The sequence below is a fragment of the Homo sapiens genome, chromosome 3, assembly GCF_000001405.40.
Source record: "Homo sapiens chromosome 3, GRCh38.p14 Primary Assembly".
Lineage (NCBI taxonomy): Eukaryota > Metazoa > Chordata > Mammalia > Primates > Hominidae > Homo > Homo sapiens.
The window spans coordinates 155,899,726-155,923,495 of NC_000003.12; the positions used below are offsets into that span (position 1 = coordinate 155,899,726).

General features: G+C 37.8%; 1 protein-coding gene across 6 annotated transcripts in view, besides 1 other annotated feature; it reads left to right on the forward strand.

Annotated features, from left to right (window-relative positions):
- Positions 1-23,770, forward strand: part of GMPS (guanine monophosphate synthase) — a 74,591-nt gene that overhangs the window by 30,296 nt on the left and 20,525 nt on the right. For all 6 annotated transcript variants that reach the window (XM_011513263.3, XM_047449145.1, XM_017007422.2 and 3 more), the window contains 8 exons: positions 4,138-4,235; positions 6,435-6,538; positions 10,967-11,160; positions 11,389-11,554; positions 14,694-14,845; positions 16,294-16,467; positions 19,508-19,613; positions 22,462-22,577. In XM_011513263.3, the coding sequence (XP_011511565.1) occupies positions 4,138-4,235; positions 6,435-6,538; positions 10,967-11,160; positions 11,389-11,554; positions 14,694-14,845; positions 16,294-16,467; positions 19,508-19,613; positions 22,462-22,577 (1,110 nt within the window). The remainder of the gene's footprint in view (positions 1-4,137; positions 4,236-6,434; positions 6,539-10,966; positions 11,161-11,388; positions 11,555-14,693; positions 14,846-16,293; positions 16,468-19,507; positions 19,614-22,461; positions 22,578-23,770) is intronic.
- Positions 8,496-8,762: a silencer, noted in NCBI's record as "fragment chr3:155626010-155626276 (GRCh37/hg19 assembly coordinates)". NCBI's record gives its function as "represses an EF-1alpha promoter that drives an FKBP-Casp9 reporter gene in an ReSE screen in HepG2 liver carcinoma cells {active_cell/tissue: HepG2}" and the evidence as "EXISTENCE:reporter gene assay evidence [ECO:0000049][PMID:32094911]".

Consider the following 23,770-nt stretch of genomic DNA (forward strand, 5'->3'; position numbering starts at 1 on the left):
GACTGCCCAATCCTTTGTGCTTTACCTGTTCATCCCCCATATCCTGGCAACCACTGATATTTTTTTATCGTCTTTATAGTTTTGCCTTTTTCAGCATGTCATGTAGGTGGAATCATACAGTATGTAGCCTTTTCAGATTGGCTTCTTTCACTTAGTAATGTGCATTTAAAGTTCTTCCATGTCTTTTCAGTCTGGGTAGCTAATTTCTTTTTAGCACTGAATAATATTCCATTGTATGGAGGTATCACAGTTCATTCACTCATTCAGTAAGTGACAGTTTACTTATTCATCTACTAACGTCTTGGTGACTTCCAAGTTTTGGTAATTATGAATAAAGGTGCTATGAACATCCATGTACAGGTTTTTGTGTGGACATAAATGTTCAGCTTTTTCAGTATATTCTAAGGAGAGTAATTACTAAGTTGTTAAGAGTATGTTTAGTTTTGTAAGAAACTGCCAAAACTGTGTTCCAAAGTGGGTGTACAATTTTGCATTTTACAGTAAAAGCCTCTTCTTTCCTTTCAAAGTTCTTTGAAAAGTGTTTGATTATGAGTTTGACTTGGCAAAAAGAAAGATTTTTTTCCATCTAGTAGTCTTAGAAGAGCCTGCACCCTGATTGAGTTGAATATTGGATATTGGCTGGCTTCTTTTTTTTTTTTGTCCCAAGGTGTAATATATTTATATAATTTATTGATTTTCTTTGTCAGAGTACTCAGTGTTAATCATATAGCACAACTTATAGTTATATTAAATGGTTGTTAGTATATTGAGAGGCTTTGTAACATTTCCTAAGGAAGAATCTCACAAGATATATTTTTAAGGCCTACTTATAGTGAAATACGTCTGAAAAATGCTCCTTTAATTTAAGAGATAATGGCTTAGTGTTTCCCCATTATGTCAGTTTCCTGATATAATTATAAGGCCAAATTGTTCTGTCATTCACTAGGATGTTTTATAGCCAAAGCCAGGCCTGCTGATGTTAAATGCATAACAATTTTTGCCTTTATTATCAGCTGAACTTTTGTAGTAAGATAATGGGATATGCTGATCTTGGTTATTTGGGCAGAATTTGTCCTTCCATAAAATAATGATATAGATGATGCCGTCTAGCTAACGTGTGTTTGTAAAGGACTGCCACTTAGTGACTAGGTTGGGTAATTTTAGGACCTAAGTGTATACCTTTGCCCCCCATGACATTCTGAAATTTGAGCAATTTCAGTGTCTTATATACCATCTTTTCCCACTAACTGGACTCTCCTGTCAGAGGCTTTCTAATTGCTTCCTGGTGATTCTTTGCTTTAGAAGAAAAATGTCTATACTGCTCCCTTTATATCTCTTAACTGATTTACATCCCCCAGCCTAAAAAATAGAATATTGGTAGAGCTTTTGAAACTTTGTATGTCTCCATTCACATTCTTCTCTTCCTATCAGAGGTGACCAACTTTCCTGAATTTTGTTATTCATTCCCTTTCTTTTTTTTATGGCTTTATGCATATGTTTATATTCCTAAATAATATATTAGTTTTGCCGATTGACCTATATATAAGTGAAGTCATACTACCTGTATTATTTTCAACTTTGGTTTTGAGATTCATTCATGTTAGTACATTTTATTGTAAATTATTCATTTTCACTATTGAATTTGTTTGAATATAGCATGTTACTTTTACATTCCAGTGTTCATAATGTTGGCTTTCTAGTTTCTTTCTATTATAGACAATATTGCCATGAATATTTTTTTACTTGTTTTCTGGTGTTATACATACACAAAATTTTCTCTAGGGTAACTGGCCGTAGGAATGCTGGGTCATAATGTACATTTTCAGCTTCACTAGGTAAATGATATTTTTTCCCTCAGTTTATGTTCCCACAGCAATATATAAAAAATCTTCTGCTCTATATCCCTGCCAACCCTTGACATGATTAGATTTTTTTTTTTTGTATTTTCTTATCTGCAAAGGTATTAAATGGGGGTCACGTTGTAGTCTTAAAGTTAATTTTCCTTGTTATTGTAAGATTCATACGTTTATTTGCCATTTGTGTTTACTATAGACACTTGTTCATTTTTATATTAAATTGTCTTTGTTATTGTGTTGTGGGAGCCTTTATATATTCTGGATACTAAACTTTTCCCAACTATATATATTGCAGATACCTTCTGGATTGTGACTTGTCTCTTCACTCTTTATGGTTTCACTTGGCTTCTTTATATACTCCCACAAGATTTTGTCAAATTATTTTTATTGGGCAGAATTTCCTTCCCTTTCTCCCTTCCCAATCTAAAACTTATAAAACTTTGACATATAAGAAAGATAAGAGGAGATGATCTGATTAGGTGGTAGACCTGGAGTACTATATGGCTTTCTTTGAGGCAGTTAGAACCTTGGGGTTTATCCAGGAATCCATACTGGCCACATACTTTGCTAGGGCCCTTGGGCTGTGAAGAGACCTGAAGACATGGAGGAGAGAACATAGTCTATTTTGATAATCACTTTAGTTTGAATGGACTGGAGTAGGAAATGAGGGGGAAGGTGAATCCAAAAATTAGACAAGGGCCAAGTAAGGAAGTCTTGTGTTTAATATAAGGAACTTGGATTTTATCCTGTAGACCAGGCATCAGTAAGCTATGGCCTATAGACCAAATCTGGCCTACCACCTGTTTTTGCATGACCTGCAAGCAAAGAATGATTTTTTACATTGTTAAATGATTGGGAAATTGAATAAAAATTATATTTTGTGATGTGTGAAAAATAAAATTCAAGTCTGTGTCCATGATAAGGTTTTATTGCAACAGTCACACCCATTTCTTTGTAAGTATTGTCTATGGATGCTTTTGAGCTGCAGTGGCAAGAGCTAAATAGTTGCTACAGACACAGTAGGGCCTGCAGAGGCCAATATTTTTCTCTGGCCCTTTAAGAAAATTTACCAACCCTTGCTGTAGATGCTAGAGGGCTAATGAAGAATTTAATCATAGACTAACACAATCATCTTTATATTGTAGTAGCTAACATTGGTAGGTCTCTAGAATATTGCTGGAAGATGGGCAAGACTAGAGTCAAGGGAAATGATTAGACTGTAGCAATGTTTCTTAAATTGCATATTAGTTAATGTGCTACAGAAGAGAGTTTTGTTTTTGAGTCTTTAGTTTGACAAATACTGTGTTAAACAAGTGCTAGCAGGTGTCTTTACTGCTGGAGTGAGTTCAAACCTTTATTGTGGGACAGTTTACTGTGAATGCCTAAGAGGAGAATGTAGAGGGCACCATTTGCTAATGGTTTTGAAGAATATGCTACTCTGAGTTATAAGAATGAACATTTATTTAAGTCATCTGTCTTATTTTCTGTCAGGGGATGGGTCAACCTGCATTACACATTGTTAAGGCAGATATCTTCTGATATCTGTTGTGGAACAGATGCACTAAGATGAGTGGGAGTGTTTATATCACTGCAGATCTAATGTTTGCAAAAATCTTCTGTATATTTATCTGATATGGGAAGTTTGGAGCATGTAAATGATAAATAAGAAAAGAAGATTGATTAACAGTGGAGGTGCTGAATTGAAGAGACCATTTGAAATCAGTCGATAAGCGTATGGGACTTGAACAGATGAGCTTAACTGAAAGGCCAGATTTTCTTGCTTATCCCATCTCTATAGCACAGCCTTCGGCAGGCTTTCAGACTGTTCCTTTGGAGCCAAAGACTAAATAGCTTGGAAAAATGTATTGTCTAATTCTTGTTCTGGTACAAGGTTCTTGTTGTCTGCTGTATCTTTTTCTAAACTCAGAATACCTTTTAAAATGCTTTTAAATCAAACTCAGGTGTAAGTAATTAAGATATCTCTATTTTTAAGCAGATGAATTCATTAAAGTACACTAAGTGGAAAATCTGCCAGTGTTTGACAGAAATTAACTGCAGGTCAAATTTTGAATCCAATTTTGTTTTATAACAATGCCTGTTAATAACTGTATAGTTATATATAACAATACCAAATGGTCTACATTTATTAAACTCCTTTTATTTTGGGGATACAGGTATATCAGGTATTCTGAAAAGAAATAATATAAATTATTAAATCAGTATAACAAAATGGGTATTTTTCTTTTGATTTCTATTAACATTAATTTTTTTCTTTGAACAGATGATGAATAAGGTATTTGGAGGTACTGTGCACAAAAAAAGTGTCAGAGAAGATGGAGTTTTCAACATTAGTGTGGATAATACATGTTCATTATTCAGGTATTACATTTTTAGATGAATAAGAACAATAGTAATTAACTAATTTAAAGTTGATACTATTATTTTTAACAATTGGAGATTCTATAATTCATAAACAAAATTAAGGGTATAGTAGTGACCACAAGTGTAATTGTCATATTTGCCTTCCAGTTGAGTGTCAAGACAGTGTGGGTTGGTGGTGATGTTAATAGGGAATAAGGAAGGTATTTAAGAAATTTGAAAACGCCTGTGCAGTTGTGGAACCCTACTTGGAATCGTATATTGTGATACCAACATTTGTATTTTCCCTTTTCACTCTTTGATCTGTTTTTAAAGATTATTATTTTTCTTTTTCTTTTTTTTTTTTCGAGACGGAGTCTCCCTCTGCCACCTGGGCTGGAGTGCAGTGGCACCATCTCAGCTCACTGCAACGTCCGCCTCCTGGGTTCAAGCGATTCTTCTGCCTCAGCCTCCCGAGTAGCTGGGACTACAGGCATGAACCACCACGCCCGGCTAATTTTTGTATTTTTAGTAGAGACAGGGTGTCACTATATTGGCCAGATTAGTCTCAAACTCCTAGACCTCGTGATCTGTCCACCTCGGCCTCCCAAAGTGCTGGGATTACAGGTGTGAGCCACTGCACCCTGCCGAAGATTATTATTTTTCAAAGGAAGATTAATAAAAAAGCCAAGGTTGCTCAAAATAATTTTTTAAACTGAAGTTACTCATTGTCAAAATGAGTTTGAAATCCAGTGCTTGTTCAGCTTCATAATGGAGAGGTGTTGACACTTACATTCATCCTTATTTCATGTGACTCATCTTGAGAAACATTTCAGGAATCTTGTATGTGATATACCAGAAGAAGCTTTAAACATAAAGATTTGGTTAAGATTTGACATTTTTCTGTCTTTCTAGTTCTAAAATTCTGGGACTCTATCACAACCTATACTATTCCTAAACAACAATGTCAACAACAAACCCCAAAATATCTTTTTGACATTAATGTACTTTATCTTCTTGCTTTATTTTTAATTTACATTTTTATTCCTTAGTATTATTTATTATTTATTTTGTAATTTAATTTAATTTTTTTTTTGAGACGGAGTCTCACTCTGTCGCACGCCCAGGCTGGAGTGCAGTGGCAAGATCTCGACTCACTGCAACCTCCACCTCCCGGGTTCAAGTGATTCTCCCACCTCAGTCTCCCAAGTAAGTGGGATTACAGGCAAAATTTTTTGTGTTTTTAGTAGAGACGGAGTTTCACCATATTGGCCAGGCTGGTCTTGAACTCCCGATCTCAGGTGATCTGCCTCGGCCTCCGAAAGTGCTGGGATTACAGGCATGAGCCACCGCGCCTGGCCGTTCCTTATTATTATTTAATATCGAGTTCTTAGTCAGATTTTCCATAACGTAAACAGTATATTTTTATGGTTGATTTGTTTGAATCAGGGTCCAGAGAAAGTGTACACATTACATTTGATTAATGTTACTTAAGTCTCTTAAGTAACACTTACTTAACTAAGTTTCATTAATTTGTTTGGCACTAGAGGTCCACATTGGTACTGGGTTGTAATTGTTTCTAGGACTTTCAGATAACAGAGTTGGGCAGTACCTAGTCTTTTAGAATTGGGAAACAGAATCATTAGTGTATACTTATTTCCAGTTAAAATGAAAGATTATAGGGTTTTTACCTAACTCTTTTGATTTTGTATCTCCCTACTCTTAAGCTGAAAATGTTGATTACTAATTATTTGTTTTAACCTACAGTATGCCTGTATCTATATTGTACTTACAGTTACAGGATAACAGTTTCAGTACTAAGTCCTATTACTACTTACATAAGACTACCGAATGAAGTGTTAAGGTCTTTGAAATACCTCTGTTCTTAACATAAATCTCAACAGATATATAATGTTGAAATTATTGTTCTGTAATCTCTTGAAATTATTCCTGTGTGTCTGGTTATACTACCAACTTCATATATTTATTTGTTCTAGTTTCCTTCCAATTTTTATGGATTGCCTTTTTTAAGGTCTAAGGTTTTTTATTGGCTTTATTTGTAATGGACATAATATTTGAATTCTAGCAGTATTCCATTGTCACTTTTTTTTTTTCTGTTTTTCTAATCATGTATGGCAAGCTTGTGTTTCTAAAACAAAAGAACCCATGAATCATGTTTTTAATTAAGATATTTGTGTGTTTTATTTTTTGTATGTTTAGGGGCCTTCAGAAGGAAGAAGTTGTTTTGCTTACACATGGAGATAGTGTAGACAAAGTAGCTGATGGATTCAAGGTTGTGGCACGTTCTGGAAACATAGTAGCAGGTGAAAATTCTAAAAATTTTGCAGAGTTCATTTAAAAAACTTTATCTGAAGAGTAAGCATATGCTTCTGTATGAGGTACTCTTTGATTTTTCCTTTTTCTTCTGATTTTTCTTCTCTTTTTTTTAAAGATAATAATGAATGTAGGATTAACTGTTATGAAGGGAATTTAATAATAGGAGGATTATCCAGAAGTCTCTCACTTACTGGTTTACTGGTTTGCTTTGAAATACGTTGAAAAATGTTCATCCTAATATAAGCTTTTCAAACATAAAACACTATACTTTTGTAACTCAGGAAAAATTTGAGAACTCGCTGTCTTCATACTATACTATATTCAGAGTTACTTGTCTTTTATTCCTTTCTTAGGTGTACATAGCCCATAGCACCCAAATAAGTACTCAAGACATTTCCCTGAACCAGGGTTGGCAAACTGTGACTTGTGGGTCAAATCTAGTCTTTTGCCTTTTTTTAATGTCCAGGAGCTAAGAATGATTTTTACATTATTAAAGGGTTATAATAAAATACAGGGACTGTGTATGTTGCACAGAGCCCAAACTATTTACTCTCTAGTCCTTTGCAGAAAGTTTGCTGACCCATGCTCTTAAACCATTTTGTTCTCTAATTTTTTGAGGAAGGGGAATTGACTTTCTGGCTGTTTGGGGTTTTGACTTGCTTACCTGAATAATGTAAATGGTCACTAATATTCCTGGAAGTTAGTAAAAGAAAAAGGTGGGTTTATCACTAAAGTTCTCTTTGAGATACCACACCTAAATAATAAGTTGAAAAAAAGATTTGTCATGGACATGCTGAATTTAGTAATCTGCCTGCTGTTACTTAACAGACATTAGCATAATGTATGCTAATATGTTAGCATAGGAATGCCCAAGAATGGTTTTATACTAAAAGTTTTTTACTTCATAAAAAAAGATCAACAGTGGTAGATAAGCTTGTGTATTTTTATTCATCCAACAAACATTCGAGTACCTATTATGTGTCATGCACAGTTCTAGGTGTCAAGGATTTAGCAATGAATAAAATAGGCCAGGTGCGGTGGCTCTCACCTATAATTCCAGCACCTTGGGAGACTGGAAAGTGGATAGCTTGAGGCCAGGAGTTCAATCCAGCCTGGGCACCATAGTGAGACCCCATCTCTACATAAAAATAATTTTAAAAAAATTAGCCAGGTGTGGTGATGCACATTTGCAGTCCTAGCTACTCAGGAGGCTGAGGTGGGAGAATCATTTGGCCCTAAGAGATCATGACTGCGGTGAGCTGTGGTTGTGCCCCTACACTCCATCCTGGGCAACAGAGCAAGACCCTCTCTCCTAAGAAGAAAACAAAACCCAAAACCAATATAGCAAAAATGCTTGTTTAACACTGGAAAAAGGGAAAGTAAACAATAAAGAAATACAGAATATGTCAGAATCAGATAGTGTTTACATTGAAAAAATGGGGGAAGAGGGTATTCTGGAATATGTGTGATTAGGGTTGTTGCAATTTTATAGGCTATTCAGGGAAGGCATTCCTATAAGATGACATTGGACATGAAGAAAATAAGTGCTAACCTTTTTGGATATTTGGGGAAAGAGGAAACAGCAGTACAGAGATCCTGGGTGGGGACCATATTTGAGGAGCAGCAGGAATCCATGTGGTTGGAGCAGAGTAAGCATGGTGGGGAGAGTGAAAGAAGGTGAAATTAGAGAGGTAGTTGGATGCCAGAACACAGGACCTTTGGGCCACTGCAATACTTTGGCTTTACTCATAGTGAGGTGGGGTTTTAAGTGAAGGAGAGATGTGATCTAATTTAAGGATTAAGCTGTGATGAGGAGAAAAGATACAGGGTGAAAGAGAAGCAAGAAGACAAGCTAGGAATTTATTGTAGTAATCAGGAGAGAGACAGCGTTGTCAGGATCAGGATAGTAGTGATAGATGCAGGAGGAAGATAAAGGGGAGGGTACCTGGAGAATCTCCCACCAGCCTGCCTACTGGGAGAACAGGGTGGGGCCACAGGAAGTTCTCACCCTTTGCAGGAGGGAGGAGCCTGGCCTTTCCTGTTCCTGTGTGGTGACCTCGGATTCAATCTGTGAGATGGGGGCCTGTTAACAGGAAGCCTTCTCACTTTGCTGAGAGTTTTTTTCCCTTTTTCTCAATAAATTCCATTCCCCCTTACCCTTCAAAGTGTCTGCGTGCCTAACTTTTCCTGGTCATGTGAAAAGAACCCGGTTTTTTCTACAGCAGTAGAAGAGGAAGTTGTTAGGACCAGGGTGGCAGAGATAGAAGTTGTCAGGACTAGGGTGATAGAGGTAGACATTGTTAGGAGTGATTGGATTCCACTGTTTTGAAGGCAGAGACAGAGGATTTGCTGTTAGATTGAATATGGAGTGGGGAAGAAAAAGTAGAATCAAGTTTTAGCTCCCAAGTTTTTTTGCCTGAGGAACCAAAAGGAAGATGTTTCTATTTACCTGATTGGAAAGACCTCAGGAGTTTGAGTTTGCATATTAAATTCAAGATGGTTTATTAAACATCAAAACAAAGGTGCTGAGTAGGCAGTTGTATATATGAGCCTGGACTTTAGAGGAGAAAACTGGGCTGGAGGTATAAATTTGGGGGTTTACCAGCATACAGACAGAATTTTAAGGTGATGAGAGTATGAGATCTCTTAGAATATTTAGAAAAGAGATTTAAGGGCTGAGGACTGAGTAACTTCCATGTGTAGAGGTGGGCAAGATGAAGAGGAACCAGCAAAGAGATTCAGAAGGAATAGACAGTAAAATAAGTGAACCAAGAGAGTGGTATGCTGAGAGCCAAATAAAGTGTGAAGTACTGTGGTATAGTAGAATGAGTATGAGTTTGGGAGCCTGTCAGGCCTGATTTAGTTACTTAATTACCTGAGAGTTCATACAAGTTTCTTGATATCTCAGAGCCATAAAATAGGAGTAACACATGCACATGTAAAATACCTAGCCTAACATCTATTGCCCCATAGGTAATATTTGCCAGAAACACATTTGTCAAGTAGTTGAATATATTTTTGTGGTTAATAGTAGTCAAGAAAGAAACAGTATATTCTGACAAGTCTAATATATGAGATTCTTTTAATATAAGAACTTGGTAGCTGTACAATGCATTTGAAAGCCATGTGCAACTGAGAACCAAAATTGAATTATCAATGCACTAGATAGACAAGGCAACTGAAGTAACTTGGGTGGAGAGGTGAGAATACTGTGAAACAATCTCTATGTGGGACTTAATGTACGTCCTATACCTCATTAATTGCTGTGTCAAGAAAGACCTTTATAAAGAAAGGTTATAGCAATGTAGTTTTTGTCTTTGTTATGTATTTCCTATTCCTATAGCTAAAAATCTACTGAGACATACCAGTTTTAACATTTATAGAGGAAGAAGGCTGGGTGCAGTGGCGCACACCTGTAATCCCAGCACTTTGGGAGGCCGAGGCAGGAGGATTACTTGAGCCCAGGAGTTCAACAGGCAACAAGATAAAACCCCATCTCTTCAAAATATTTAAAAATTAGCTGAGTGTGGTGGCATGCACCTGTTGTTCCAGCTACTCAGGAGGCTGAGGTGGAAGGATCACTTGAGCCCAGGAGATCGAGACTATAGTGAGCTATGATTACACCTCTGCACTCCAGCCTGGGTGACAGAGCAGTAAATACCCTGTCTAAAAAATAAAATAAAATAGGCCGGGCGCAGTGGCTCACGCCTGTAATCCCAGCACTTTGGGAGGCTGAGATGGGCGGATTACAAGGTCAGGAGATCAAGACCAGCCTGGCCAATATGGTGAAACCCTGTCTCTACTAAAAATATAAAAGAAATAAGCCGAGCGTGGTGGCACACACCTGTTGTTCCAGCTACTCGGGAGGCTGAGGCAGAAGAATAGTTTGGACATGGAAGGCAGAGGTGACAAGTGAGCCAAGATCGCACCGCTGCACTCCAGCCTGGGCAACAGAGCGAGACTCCGTCTCAAAACAAAACAAAACAAAAAACAAACAAACAAATAAAATTGGCTGGGAGCAGTGGCTCATGCCTGTAATCCTAGCACTTTGGGAGGCTGAGGCAGGTGGATCACTTGAGGCCAGGAGTTTGAGGCCACCAGGCCAACATAGTGAAACCCTATCTCTACTAGAAATACAAAAAATCAGCTGGGCGTGGTGGCACACGCCTGTAATGCCAGCTACTTGGGAGCCTGAGGCATGAGAATTGCTTGAACCCAGGAGGCAGAGGTTGCAGTGAGCCGAGATCATGCCACTGCACTCCAGCCTGAGCGACAGAGCAAGACTCTGTCTCAAAAAAAAAAAAAAAAAAAAAATGAAACCATAGAGGCAGAGATTGTGAGAAATTAATTGTGGTTATTGCTTGAGTCTTTTCAGCATGAAAAAATTTTAATTTGTGACTATTTTCTCTATAAAGGCATAGCAAATGAATCTAAAAAGTTATATGGAGCACAGTTCCACCCTGAAGTTGGCCTTACAGAAAATGGAAAAGTAATACTGAAGAATTTCCTTTATGATATAGCTGGATGCAGTGGAACCTTCACCGTGCAGAACAGAGAACTTGAGTGTATTCGAGAGATCAAAGAGAGAGTAGGCACGTCAAAAGTTTTGGTAAGCAAATTATTATCTGGAAGTCTACAAATTTATATCAATAATATTGGAATCCAGGAGTTAGAGTCCTCAACACAGCCCTTAAATGTTCTACAGTTTTAGAGTGCTTTTCCAGTTACCATACATATCTTTGGTATAAATAGCACTTTTAGATAAAGATTTAAGCCAATAGTGTTTATTTTCTTTTTGCTTGTTTTGCTCATTTTGATTTTTCATTTTACCCCGTAGGTTTTACTCAGTGGTGGAGTAGACTCAACAGTTTGTACAGCTTTGCTAAATCGTGCTTTGAACCAAGAACAAGTCATTGCTGTGCACATTGATAATGGCTTTATGAGAAAACGAGAAAGCCAGTCTGTTGAAGAGGCCCTCAAAAAGCTTGGAATTCAGGTCAAAGGTATTGAAGAACCTCAGAAAAGTTAACTTACATGTTAGGACTTGTTTAATCAAATCTAGTCTTATGGTTTAAATGAGCACAATTACAGTTTTCTCAGTATGCTCAAGGTTGAAAATGTTTTTTATTTTTACAATTACCTCTGGTGTAAGAGAGGTCTCAGTATAAATTTTTAAACTATTGATTCTGCTAATTTAATACATAGATTGATAAATTAACATTTTCTAGCTACTGTTCAGTTCTCTTCTAGTCATTCACTTTTAAAATTATCTTTTCCTGGCCAGGCGCGGTGGCTCACGCCTATAATCCCAGCACTTAGGGAGATCAAGGTGGGTGGATCACCTGAGGTCAGGAGTTTTGAGATCAGCCTGGCCAACATGATGAAACCCCATCTCTACTAAAAATACAAAAAATTAGCCAGTCTTGGTGGTGGGCGCCTGTGATCCCAGCTACTCGAGAGGCTGAGGCAGGAGAATCACTTGAACCTGGGAGGTGGAGGCTGCAGTAAGCAGAGATCATGCCACTGCACTCCAGCCTGGGCAACAAGAGCGAAACTCCATCTCAAAAAAAAAAAAAAAAGAAATTATCTTTTCCCACTCTATTTAATGATATTTATGTACGAGGCTACCCAAGCCCTCCTCAGGTATGGGTATACAGATTATTTTGCAAACAGAAAAGCTTATTGTGGGAGAGGTAAAGATTCTATACTTTTTTTTTAAAGGGCCACTAGTAAACTTCTTAGTCCTTAATAACATTTACTTTTGTAGATACCTTTTATACTTTTTAAAAACAAGGTGCAATTGATAGTTATAATGAAATGAGGTCAGTAGTTTAATGATAAAAGTTATTGTACATATTATGGAATTAATTGGAATTGATACCAAAAGGCTGAATAAAATGAAGACTTGTAGGTAAGTATGATGTGAACATGAGTCTATTTTTTTGAAACTTCTCTAAAATAACAGTAAAAGCATAAAACAGTGTAATACCTTAAGGATGTGGGATAGAGGAGATGACAGAAGACAGATGGTTTCAATAAAGTGTTGGAAAGTGGAAAGCAGATGGGTAAAGGTGGATTTTCTCTGTTTAAGCTAGGGGGGTCTCTCCCAACATCCTGGGAAGGTCCCCAATGGTATCTTCACATGGTGATAGGTTTTTGTGAAATTTGCAAGATATTTTGATAATTTGTAGTTGTTTATTTTCTTTCAACTCTGACTTGTTTTCTGTTAGGTGGTGCTGGAATAGCTGTGGGCATTTTGAAATCAGGCTAAGACAAAGATGAGCTGGGGATGTGCTTAGTATGGGTTTAGTGGTATATATGTGATTTGCAATTATTTCTGTGTATAGTTAAGTACTTGTTAGCCATCCCAGTATAACTTAAGATTTTTAGTATCTTATTTGTTATTCTGGTTCTTGAAGGAGTCCTTCAAATTGTAAAACTTGGATCTGTCCCTGGTAACTGACATAGCAGAATGGAGGAATTCACAACCTTGGGGTGGGGTGGGAAGGAAGCCAATAAAAAGCAAGCTGATTTGTGCTGTAGACTTCTGGGGAGGCTCAGGAATTTGAAGCATTGGGTTCTTTTTGGGACATTGGTCTCTGGGTTAGCCTAAAACAGGGATTAGTTAAAAATCTGAGAAGCAGATCCTTTTCCTTAGCACAGGAGCAAACTGTGCTCTCCTTCCCCATCAGAACACTGTGGATGTATTCTCTAGAGGGGCTAAACGAGAGGTTCTGGGCTTGAGCCTACTAATACCAGGCATAGTTGAGGGTGGAGGTAAGACTCTACATTAAGAACAGGATTAAGTAAAATTCTCTATGCTGAATGGTGATTCCCTCTTCCTACCACTTCCTCTGTTTAACTGCCAGAATGCCAATAGGCAGGAGAGTAGATATGTCTTCTCTGGGTAGTTGACCAGGTACAGGAAAGACCTACAAATTCACTGGCTTTTCCACAATGAAATAGCCAGCTGCCTTGTCATCTTACGGTGAAGGCCTCCAGTAGCTAAGTTTTATTAGCAAATAGAGATCTTAGTTTTTAGTTTCTTGTCATTAAATAAAAAGCCAAGGATTGTTAAATGTATGTTCATAAATATTAGTTTTACAAGACACTAGGGTGTGATTCCAACAGCTTTGACTCCGTTTAGGAGCCGGTGCTTTTGACTTCTTTGGGGCTAAGCTTCTTGCTGTGGCTTCTGCTTGTTGCTCTGGTGAAGCACTGAAGAGAGGGAAAACAATCAGCATAAATTTTTTTTTTTTTTTTGAGACAGAGTCTTGTTCTGTTGCCCAGGGCAGAATGCAGTGGCACAACCTCGGCTCACTGCAACCTCTGCCTCCCAGGTTTAAGCAATTCTCTTGCCTCAGCCTCTGAGTAGCTGGGATTGCAGACATGTGCCACTACGCCCCACTAATTTTTGTGTTTTTAGTAGAGATGTGGTTTTGCCATTTTGGCCAGGCTGGTCTCACACTGCTGACCTCAAGTGATCCACCCAACTTGGCCTCCCAAAGTGCTGGTATTACAGGTGTGAGCCACCGTGCCGGCCCTAATCAGCATAATTTGTGATGTCATGGCCCTAGATCTAAATGCCAGGAGATTCTCACAGAAACAAAATTTAATGAGTGCCTGTATCTGAATTCTGTTACTCAGGATTTATTGATAGTTCTTTTTCTTTTCTTATTTTTTTTTTGGGGATGGAGTCTCTCTCTGTCACCCAGGCTGGAGTGCAGTGGCACAATCTCTGCTCACTGCAAGCTCCGCCTCCCGGGTTCACACCATTCTCCTGCCTCGGCTTCCCAAGTAGCTGGGACTACAGGCACCCGTCACCACACCCAGCTAATTTTTTGTATTTTTAGTAGTGATGGGATTTCACCATGTTAGCCAGGATGGTCTTGATCTCCTGACCTCGTGATCCACCTGTCTCGGCCTCCCAAAGTGCTGGGATTATAGGCATGAGCCACCGGGCCCGGCCAATAATTCTTGAATATTGATAGTTTATTGAAATTTGTAGGCAGATTTAGGGGAGATCAAAGGACTGCTCTTCAGACTGGGAAAGAAATAGCTTTTCTTTCTGTATTTTGACTTGTTATTTTTGATTAAAAAACATGTTATACCAATTTAAAACGCTTCTCCCCTTTCCTCCAGTGATAAATGCTGCTCATTCTTTCTACAATGGAACAACAACCCTACCAATATCAGATGAAGATAGAACCCCACGGAAAAGAATTAGCAAAACGTTAAATATGACCACAAGTCCTGAAGAGAAAAGAAAAATCATTGGGGATACTTTTGTTAAGGTACCTTTGTTTTTAATATCCTCAACATGTACTATTTTTGATGTGAATCTTAGTATTTGTTTTTCCTTGTCACTATATCAAATAACCAAATTAGCTAATTTTAATCCTTTTTCTTATGTGGCTGAGAGTTTTATTGTATATTGTCATTATATTGACCAGTAGAAACTGTTTTATGTTTTTTTGTTGTTGTTTGGTTTTTTTTTTGTTTTTTTGAGACAGAGTCTTGCTGTGTCACCAGGCTGGGCTGGAGTGCAGTTGCACGATCTCGGCTCGCTGCAACCTCTGCCTTCTGGGTTCAAGTGATTCTCCTGCCTCAGCCTCCTAAGTAGCTGGGACTACAGGGGTGCACCATCATGCCCAGCTAATTTTTGTACTTTTAGTAGAGACGGGGGTTTCACCATGTTGGCCAGGTTGGTCCGGATCTCCTGACCTCATGATCCGCCCGCCTCAGCCTCCCGAACTTCTGGGATTACAGGTGTGAGCCACTATGCCCAGCCAACTGTTTTATGTTTTAATAAACATGTTTGCCTACATTGCCAGGCTATTATTTTAAGAATAGATGTCTTTAAGAGTAGATGTATTCAGCTTATCATAGACTTTAATTCATTGATTATCTCAATGGCTAATTTCAAGCTCTTGAATGGAATGTTCACATACCTTTGTTTTTGTTTTTTTTTTTTTTTGGAGGCGGAGTTTTGTTCTTGTCACTCAGGCTGGAGTACAATGGAGCGATCTTGGCTCACGGCAACTTTCACCTGCTGGGTTCAAGCGATTCTCCTGCCTCAGCCTCCCGAGTAGCTGGGATTACAGGCATGCACCACCATGCCCAGCTAATTTTTTTCTTTTTTTGAGATGGAGTCTCACTCTGCCGCCCAGGCTGGAGTGTAGTGGTGCAATCTTGGCTCACTGCAAACTTTGCCTCCAGGGTTCAAGCGATTCTCCTGCCTCAACTTCCTGAGTAGCTGGGATTACAGGCGTGTGCCACCATGCCCGGCTAGTTTTTGTATTTTTAGTAGAGACGGGGTTTCACCATGTTAGTCAGGCTGGTCTCAAACTCCTGACCTTGTGATCTGCCTGCCTTGCCTCCCAAAGTGCTGGGATTACAGGCGTGAGCCACCACACCTGGCCACTAATTTTGTATATTTAGTAGAGATGGTGTTTCATCATGTTGGCCAGGCTGGTCTCGAACTCCTGGCCTCAAGTGATCCACCCCACTCAGCCTCCCAAAGTGCTGGGATTACAGGCGTGAGCCACTGTGTTTGGCCTCATGTACCTTTTTGAATCGTGTTAGAGGACATGTTCATTAAGGAGTTTATTTTGGAGATTGGTGGATTTTATTTTCTGATCAGTATTTCTAAAGGACTCTAAGAGATTTAGCTGAAAGTATAAACTTTTGCTTTTAAAAAAAGTTATCTCTTACAAGGCTGTTTTACTCCTGTTGATTATAGATTGCCAATGAAGTAATTGGAGAAATGAACTTGAAACCAGAGGAGGTTTTCCTTGCCCAAGGTACTTTACGGCCTGATCTAATTGAAAGTGCATCCCTTGTTGCAAGTGGCAAAGCTGAACTCATCAAAACCCATCACAATGACACAGAGCTCATCAGAAAGTTGAGAGAGGAGGTAAAAGTTTATGAAAACTTTTTCATAAAGTAGATACATGGAAAGTCTTCCATTCTTCCCTCCTCTTCCCTCTAATATTCACAGAATTGCATAACCATCACCACATCTAATTTTAGAACATTTTCCTTACCCTAAAAAGGAACCTTATACCCATTAGCAGTCACTCCTCGTTCTACCTGTTGTTGTCATTGTCATCCTGCCCCCACCCCCCAGCTCCTCCTTTCCTCCTTTCTTGCCAGCCCTAGGCAATTACCAACCACTAATTTATTTTCTGTCTCTATAGATTTGCTTATTTTGGGCATTTTATATAAATGGAATGGTACAATATGTGGTCTTTTATGACTGGCTTCTTTTACTTACCGTAATGTTTTCAAGGTTCATCCATGTTGCTGCATGTATCAGAACTTTATTCCTATTTATTGCCAGATAATATTCCATCTTATGGGTATAATGCATTGTATTTATCCTTTGATCAGCTGATGGGCTTTTGGGTTATTTCCACTTTTTGGCTGTTATAAGTAATGCCGCCATGAATACTGGTCATAAGTTTTTGTGGATATGTGTTTTTATTTCTTTTGGTATATGCCTGGGAGTAGAATTGCTAGGTCTTAAGGTTTAACATTTTGATGAATTGCCAAACTATTATTTAAAATGATGATACAATTTTACATTCGCACTAGCAATCTATGAGATTCAAATTTTTCCACATCCTCACCAAGACTTGTTGTTATCTCTTTTCTTATTGTAAAAAACACATAACATAAAGCTTACCATCTTAACTCTGATTTTTTTTTTTTTTTGAGACAGAGTCTCACTCTATTGCCCAAGCTGGAGAGCAGTCATGCGACCTCGGCTCACTGCAACCTCTGCCTCCCGGTTCAAGAGATTCTGCTGCCTCAGCCTCTCAAGTAGCTGGGATTACAGGCATGCGCCACGAGGCCCGGCTAATTTTGTATTTTTAGTAGAGATGGGGTTTCACTATGTTGGCCAGGCTGGTCTTCAACTCCTGACCTCAGGTGATCCGCCTGCCTCTGCCTCCCAAAGTGCTGGGATTACAGGTGTGAGCCACTGCATCCAGCCTCATCTTAACTATTTTTAAGTATATAGTTCAGTAGTGTTAGGTGTATTCACATTGTTGTAAAACAGATCTTCAGAACTTTTCATCTTGCAAAACAAACTCTATACCCGTTAAAAAACAACTCTCCCTTTTTTCTGGCCCCCACCCTCTGGTAACCACCATTCTGCTTTCTGTTTCTATGTTTCACTACTTTAAATACCTCATATAGGTGGAATCATACAGTATTGCCTTTTTGTGACTTGCTTATTTCACTTAGCATAATGTCCTTAAGGTTCATTCATGTTGTAGCATGTGACAGAATTTCCTTCTTTTTTAAGACTGAAAAATGGGCCAGGCACAGTGGCTCATGCCTAGCGCTTTGGGAGGCTGAGGCGGGTGGATCACCTGGGGTCGGGAGTTTGAGACCAGCCTGGTCAACATGATGAAACCCCGTCTTTACTAAGAATACAAAAATTAGCCAGGCGTGATGGCGGGCATCTATAATGCCAGCTCCTTGGGAGGCTGAGGCAGGAGAATGGCTTGAACCCTGGAGGCGGAGGTTGCAATGAGCCAAGACTGCCATTGCACTCTAGCCTGGGCAACAAGAGTGAAACTCTGTCTCAAAAAAACAAACAAACAAACAAAACAGACTGAGTAATGTACTACTATATGTATATAACACATTTTGCCTATCCATTTTTGTTTATCTTTTGGATATATGCCCAGAATTGGGATTGCTGGATCATATGGTAGTTCTCTTTTTAATTTTTTTGAGGAACTTATTGTCCATAGCAATTGCACCATTTTACAATCTAACCAAAAGTACATAATGACTCCAATTTTTCCAAATGCTTACAATTTGTTATTTTCTATTTTTTTATGGTTGTGTTATCTGACTTTTAAAAATTTTAGTCATCTGGCTCAGCACAGTGGCTCATGCCTATAATCCCAGCACTTTGGGAGGCTGAGGCAGGTGGATCACTTGAAGCCAGGAATTTGAGACCAGCCTGGCCAACATGGTGAAACCCTGTATCTACTAAAAATACAAAAAAATTAGCCAGGTTTGGTGGTGCATGCCTGTAGTCCCAGCTACTCTGGAGGCTGAGGCAGGAGAATTGCTTGAACCTGGGAGGCAGAGGTTGCAGTGAGCCAAGATTATGCCACTGCACTCCCGCCTGAGCGACAGAGCGAGACTCTGTCTTAAAAAAAAGTAAATAAAAATGTTAGTCATCCTAGTGTATATGAAGTGGTATATCTCATTTTGATTTGCATTTCCCTAATAGCTAATGATGTTGAGCATTTTTTCATGTTCTTGCTTATTGGCCATTTGTGTATCTTGGAGAAATGTCTATTCGTATCCTTTGCTCCTTTTTTTAAAAAATAATTTTAAGTTCGAGGATATAAGTGTAGGTTTGTTACATAGGTAAACTTGTGTCATAGGGGTTTGTTATACAGATTATTTCATCACCCAGGTATTAGGCCTAGTACCCATTAGCTTTGCTTATTTTTTAATTGACTTATTTATTTTTTTATTATTGAGTTGTAAATGTTCTTTATATATTCTGGTTACAAGTCTTTTATCAGATATACGACTTGCAAATGTCTTCTCTAGTTCTGTGAGTTGTCTTCATTTTCTCAATGATAACATTTGGAGAATTATAATTTTGGAACACTAGTATATTTTCTAATTGCTTTGTATTCTAATGAGAATTAGATCAGAGATGATGGATTGGTTTACCCTGATTTATTTATATTTAAAAAGCTTATGTTTAAAATGTGCTTCAAAGAGAAATAATACCCATAAGATATTCGTCTAATTCCTTATAGGCACTTAGGAACAAATACTTTAAAAGATGCATTTTTAGTAATAATCTGTTAGTCTAAGAAAAGTGGTAACAGGAAAAGCCAATAATTTATTACGCTTTGTTTTCCATGTCATCTTGGTTACTAGTTTATATTGGTTGGCTTCTTTCCTCCCTGTAGGGAAAAGTAATAGAACCTCTGAAAGATTTTCATAAAGATGAAGTGAGAATTTTGGGCAGAGAACTTGGACTTCCAGAAGAGTTAGTTTCCAGGCATCCATTTCCAGGTAAAAATTAGAACTGAATTTTGTTTGATTCATCTTTAGACCTTCATGTTGAAGAAAAATCAATTCAGACAATTCTGAAATAATCTGTCATCTCAGGGAATATGTAACATGAGAGAAAGGAAAGGATGGTTAGGGAATAATTGAAATCTTTTGAGTATCTACTGTATTTACTTCATTTTATTAAATACTCATTTTCCATTGTATCTGCATTTAAGTGTTACATTATCCTTGGGAGTCTGGCATCTGATGTTGCCATCAGATGAGAAAACCAAGACATAAAGATATTTTAATAATATTGCCACACAGTCCTAGTAGTAGAGCTAGGATTTGTTATATTATTTGTACCATACCGCAGTGCGTTCCATGGAAGATGTGAGGATTTAAATTTAGCTCTTTAAAATCCTTGTCCTATGTCTGACTTGTTTGAATGGATGAACCACTTATTCTGTGCAGAGAATTCCTGGCACAATGTAACTAATTCCTGAACAAATAATACTTCATTTGCTGTCATATAGAAAAAAATTAGAGGTGATACTTGTTTAAAGTTAGGACTGCAAGTCTTAACCTGTTTTTGTTACTAGTTCTTGAGAGGTTGGGCAAGTCTGTACATCAGGTTCTAGCTCACTGTAATAGTGATTAGGGGATGATTTGGGAGAATGACCTAATTGAATTGAAAAGCATAATAATAGCCAACATTTCTTAAGTACTTTCTATGTGCTAGGCACTCTGCTAAATACATTTTATTGTCTTATTTAATCTTCACAGTGGAAACTACTATTATCCTGTTTTACAGATGAAGAAACTTAGGGACAGCGACTAATTTGCCAAAAGTTATGCAGATTGAAAGGAGTGGAGCCAGAATGATATCCCCAATAATTTTTATCTCAGAGTTTATACTCTTAATGATCATATTGGCTCCATAAACAGCTTTACACATGTATAACCTATGTGGTGATTAGCACTTGTTCTCAAATCAAGTAATCAGATTGAGATCTTTAGTCCCTAACCTGCATGCCGGCGAAGAATGGTCTGTGGACCGGTGTGGTGGCTCATGCCTGTAACCCTGAGTCTACTAAAAATAGAAAAATTAGCCAGGTGTGGTGGCATGTGCCTGTAATTCTAGCTACTCGGGAGGCTGAGGCAGGAGAATCGCTTGAACCCGGGAGGCAGAGGTTGCAGTGAGACAAGATTACACCACAGCACTCCAACCTGGGCAACAGAGCATGACTCCATCTTAAAAAAAAAAAAAAAGAAAAAAAAAAAAGAAAAGAATGATCTGTGAATGTAATGGAGGGAAGCCAAGTGTTCTATGTCCTTGGTCATTATTTCATCTAGACTCACTTGATGTTTTAAAAATCTATTTTGTATGTTGAGTTTTCTATTATGTAAGACTTCATTGGCAAAAATGGTTTTACTGCTTTAAAAACTATCTTAAGTATGCTGTTTATTCTAAAGGTAAAGAATGGACTAGGGAATTAATTGGACATAGCTGAGGTTTTGCCTATAACTAGGCATCTCAAGTGATGCCTTTTCTGTTGTAGTAAAGCAGCAGGATCCAGTTTTCCATAGATCTATGCACACCTTGTGTTTTTATCAACTTTTAAGTATTTGGTAAAATAGAGGTTGGGTACAGTGGCTCATGCCTGTAATTCCAGCACTTTGGGAGGCCTAGGCAGGCAGATCACTTGAGGTCAGGAGTTCCAGACCAGCCTGGCCAACGCGGTGAAACCCGATCTCTACTAAAAATACAAAAAATTAGCTGGGCATGGTGGTGCATGCCTGTACTAGGTACACTGGTGGCTGCTAGGGGAGGGTAAGGCAGGAGAATCTCTTGAACCTGGGAGGTGGAAGTTGCAGTGAGCTGAGATCGTGCCACTGCCCTCCAGCCTGGGTGACAGAATGAGAGTCTGTCAAAATAAAATAGAAATACCAGTTCACATTTTTTGGTATTAAAAACTCACATTATTTATTAGATTATGTGTATATTTTAACAGTATAATACCATTCCTAAAATTAGATTGATAGTTGAAGCTGGATGATAAGTAAGGTAGTTAATTATACTGTCCTCTTTATGTATATGTTGGAAAATTCCCTTATTAAAAACTTTGGATGAGCACATATGTTATAAACTAAAAATATTTACTGGATAATTTTGTGATACTTAATACATGGACTGTAAAAATAGGATAGGCCAAGTGCAGTCAGTGGCTCATGCCTGTAATTTCAGCATTTCCAGAAGCCGAGCTTCTGGAGTTCAAGACCAGCCTGAACAGCATAGTGAAACCCCTATCTTTACTGAAAAAATTAGCCAGGCATGGCTGCCGGTGCTTGTAATCCAAGCTATTTAGGAGGCTGAGGTGGGAAGACTGCTTGAGCTCAGGAATTTGAGGCTGCAGTGAGCAATAATTGCACCACTGCACTCTAGCCTTGGTGACAGAGCAAGACTCTATCTCTTAAAAAAAGGGAGATAGGAATGATAGGGAGAGAATTAAACATACTGTCTTATTTGAGCCTCACAATGGAAACTATGATAGTATTACCCTGTTTTATAGATGAAGAAACTTAGGGACAGAGATTAATATGCCAAAAAGTTATGCAGACTAAAACGTATGCATAATTTAAATGTTGCAGCATTCTAAATGTTACAACATTTTTAGAATGTTGAAGCATTCTAAAAAATGCTGAGTTGAATGGGAAACTAATAGCTACATTTGGATACTTATGATGGGCAGATGGATTTTAATTTTGGAAAGGTTTTATGTTTTGAAACTAGTGGCATTTTTATATTAGATTTTTATATTAGAAATATAACATTAATGTTAAATACTATTATTACTCCTACCTTTAGGTCCTGGCCTGGCAATCAGAGTAATATGTGCTGAAGAACCTTATATTTGTAAGGACTTTCCTGAAACCAACAATATTTTGAAAATAGTAGCTGATTTTTCTGCAAGTGTTAAAAAGGTAATATTTGATACAGCTAATCATTACAAGAAATTGAACGGATTCTTATTATATACCAGCATTTATAATGAATTTTTTAGGGTTTTATTATTTGAAAATTTGGTGTAATATAACCTTTGAAATGACTGTGGAGAAAATATTCCACAGATATTCTTATATGCATATTTTTCTTTCCAGCCAAACAAGACTGGATATCCTGAGTCTCTAAAAATGTCAGATAAAGTATTTTAAAGCACTCTTTTATGTGTATTTCAAGATAGTAAGGGAAATCCTTTGAGTCAGGAATTTATTGGGAGCATCATTTCAAGAAACCAAAGCTGTCTGCTCCTCTGAGGACAGCTACTAATCCTTTGTGGTCTAGGATTTGGGTTTTTACAATTTCATTCATGTACAGGTGTCTGAGTATGAGACTGGGTCCAAGAAGGGCCAGAGATTGGATCAGATATCTTCACACTATGCAACCCTTTAGCTCCAAATTGAAGATGAATGGAAAAATTCCCCAGTCTACTTTATTCTACAGATTTGGGGTTTTAATTTATGTAATGTGTGTGGTCTGAAAATTGCAACGAAATAATTTTAAAGTGGATCTGGGTTGGTAGTGCTTATGGGAGTTAGGCAAGGAAAAATGCAGATTCTCTTTAGAATATCTTCACCTAGGTCCCAAAGGATTCTCATAGATAGATTTCCAACAAATATGAGGTTATAATAAAAAATACAAATCACATATAGAAGTATGGCACCATGAATGAGAAAGGAAAAAACTGTCAGAACAAGACCCTCAAGACTTTACTGGAATTAACAAGCAATATGTAAAGTAAATAGAAATAAGCTATTCATAATAAGAATAATGTATAAGAGACTACTAAAAATAACTGGGCAGATTTGAAAATAATCTAAGTTCTGGGAATGAAAATAATAACTGAAAAACAGCTGAAAGAGAGAATTAATGAACTAAAAGAAAGTTGTTTAGAGATTATCCAGAAATTAGGACAAATCATCATAAAGAAAATATGGGTAGAAAAGGTTAAGATGGAAGGATAAGGCAAGTGCTAACATATGTCCAGAAGGAAATAATAGAAAAAAATGTATTAATTCCTCCACACTGGTAAAAGACATGATGGCTCAGATTCAGGAAATGTAACACATCTCAAGCAGAATAAAGGGAAAGAATTTGACACCTAGTAAGCACATCT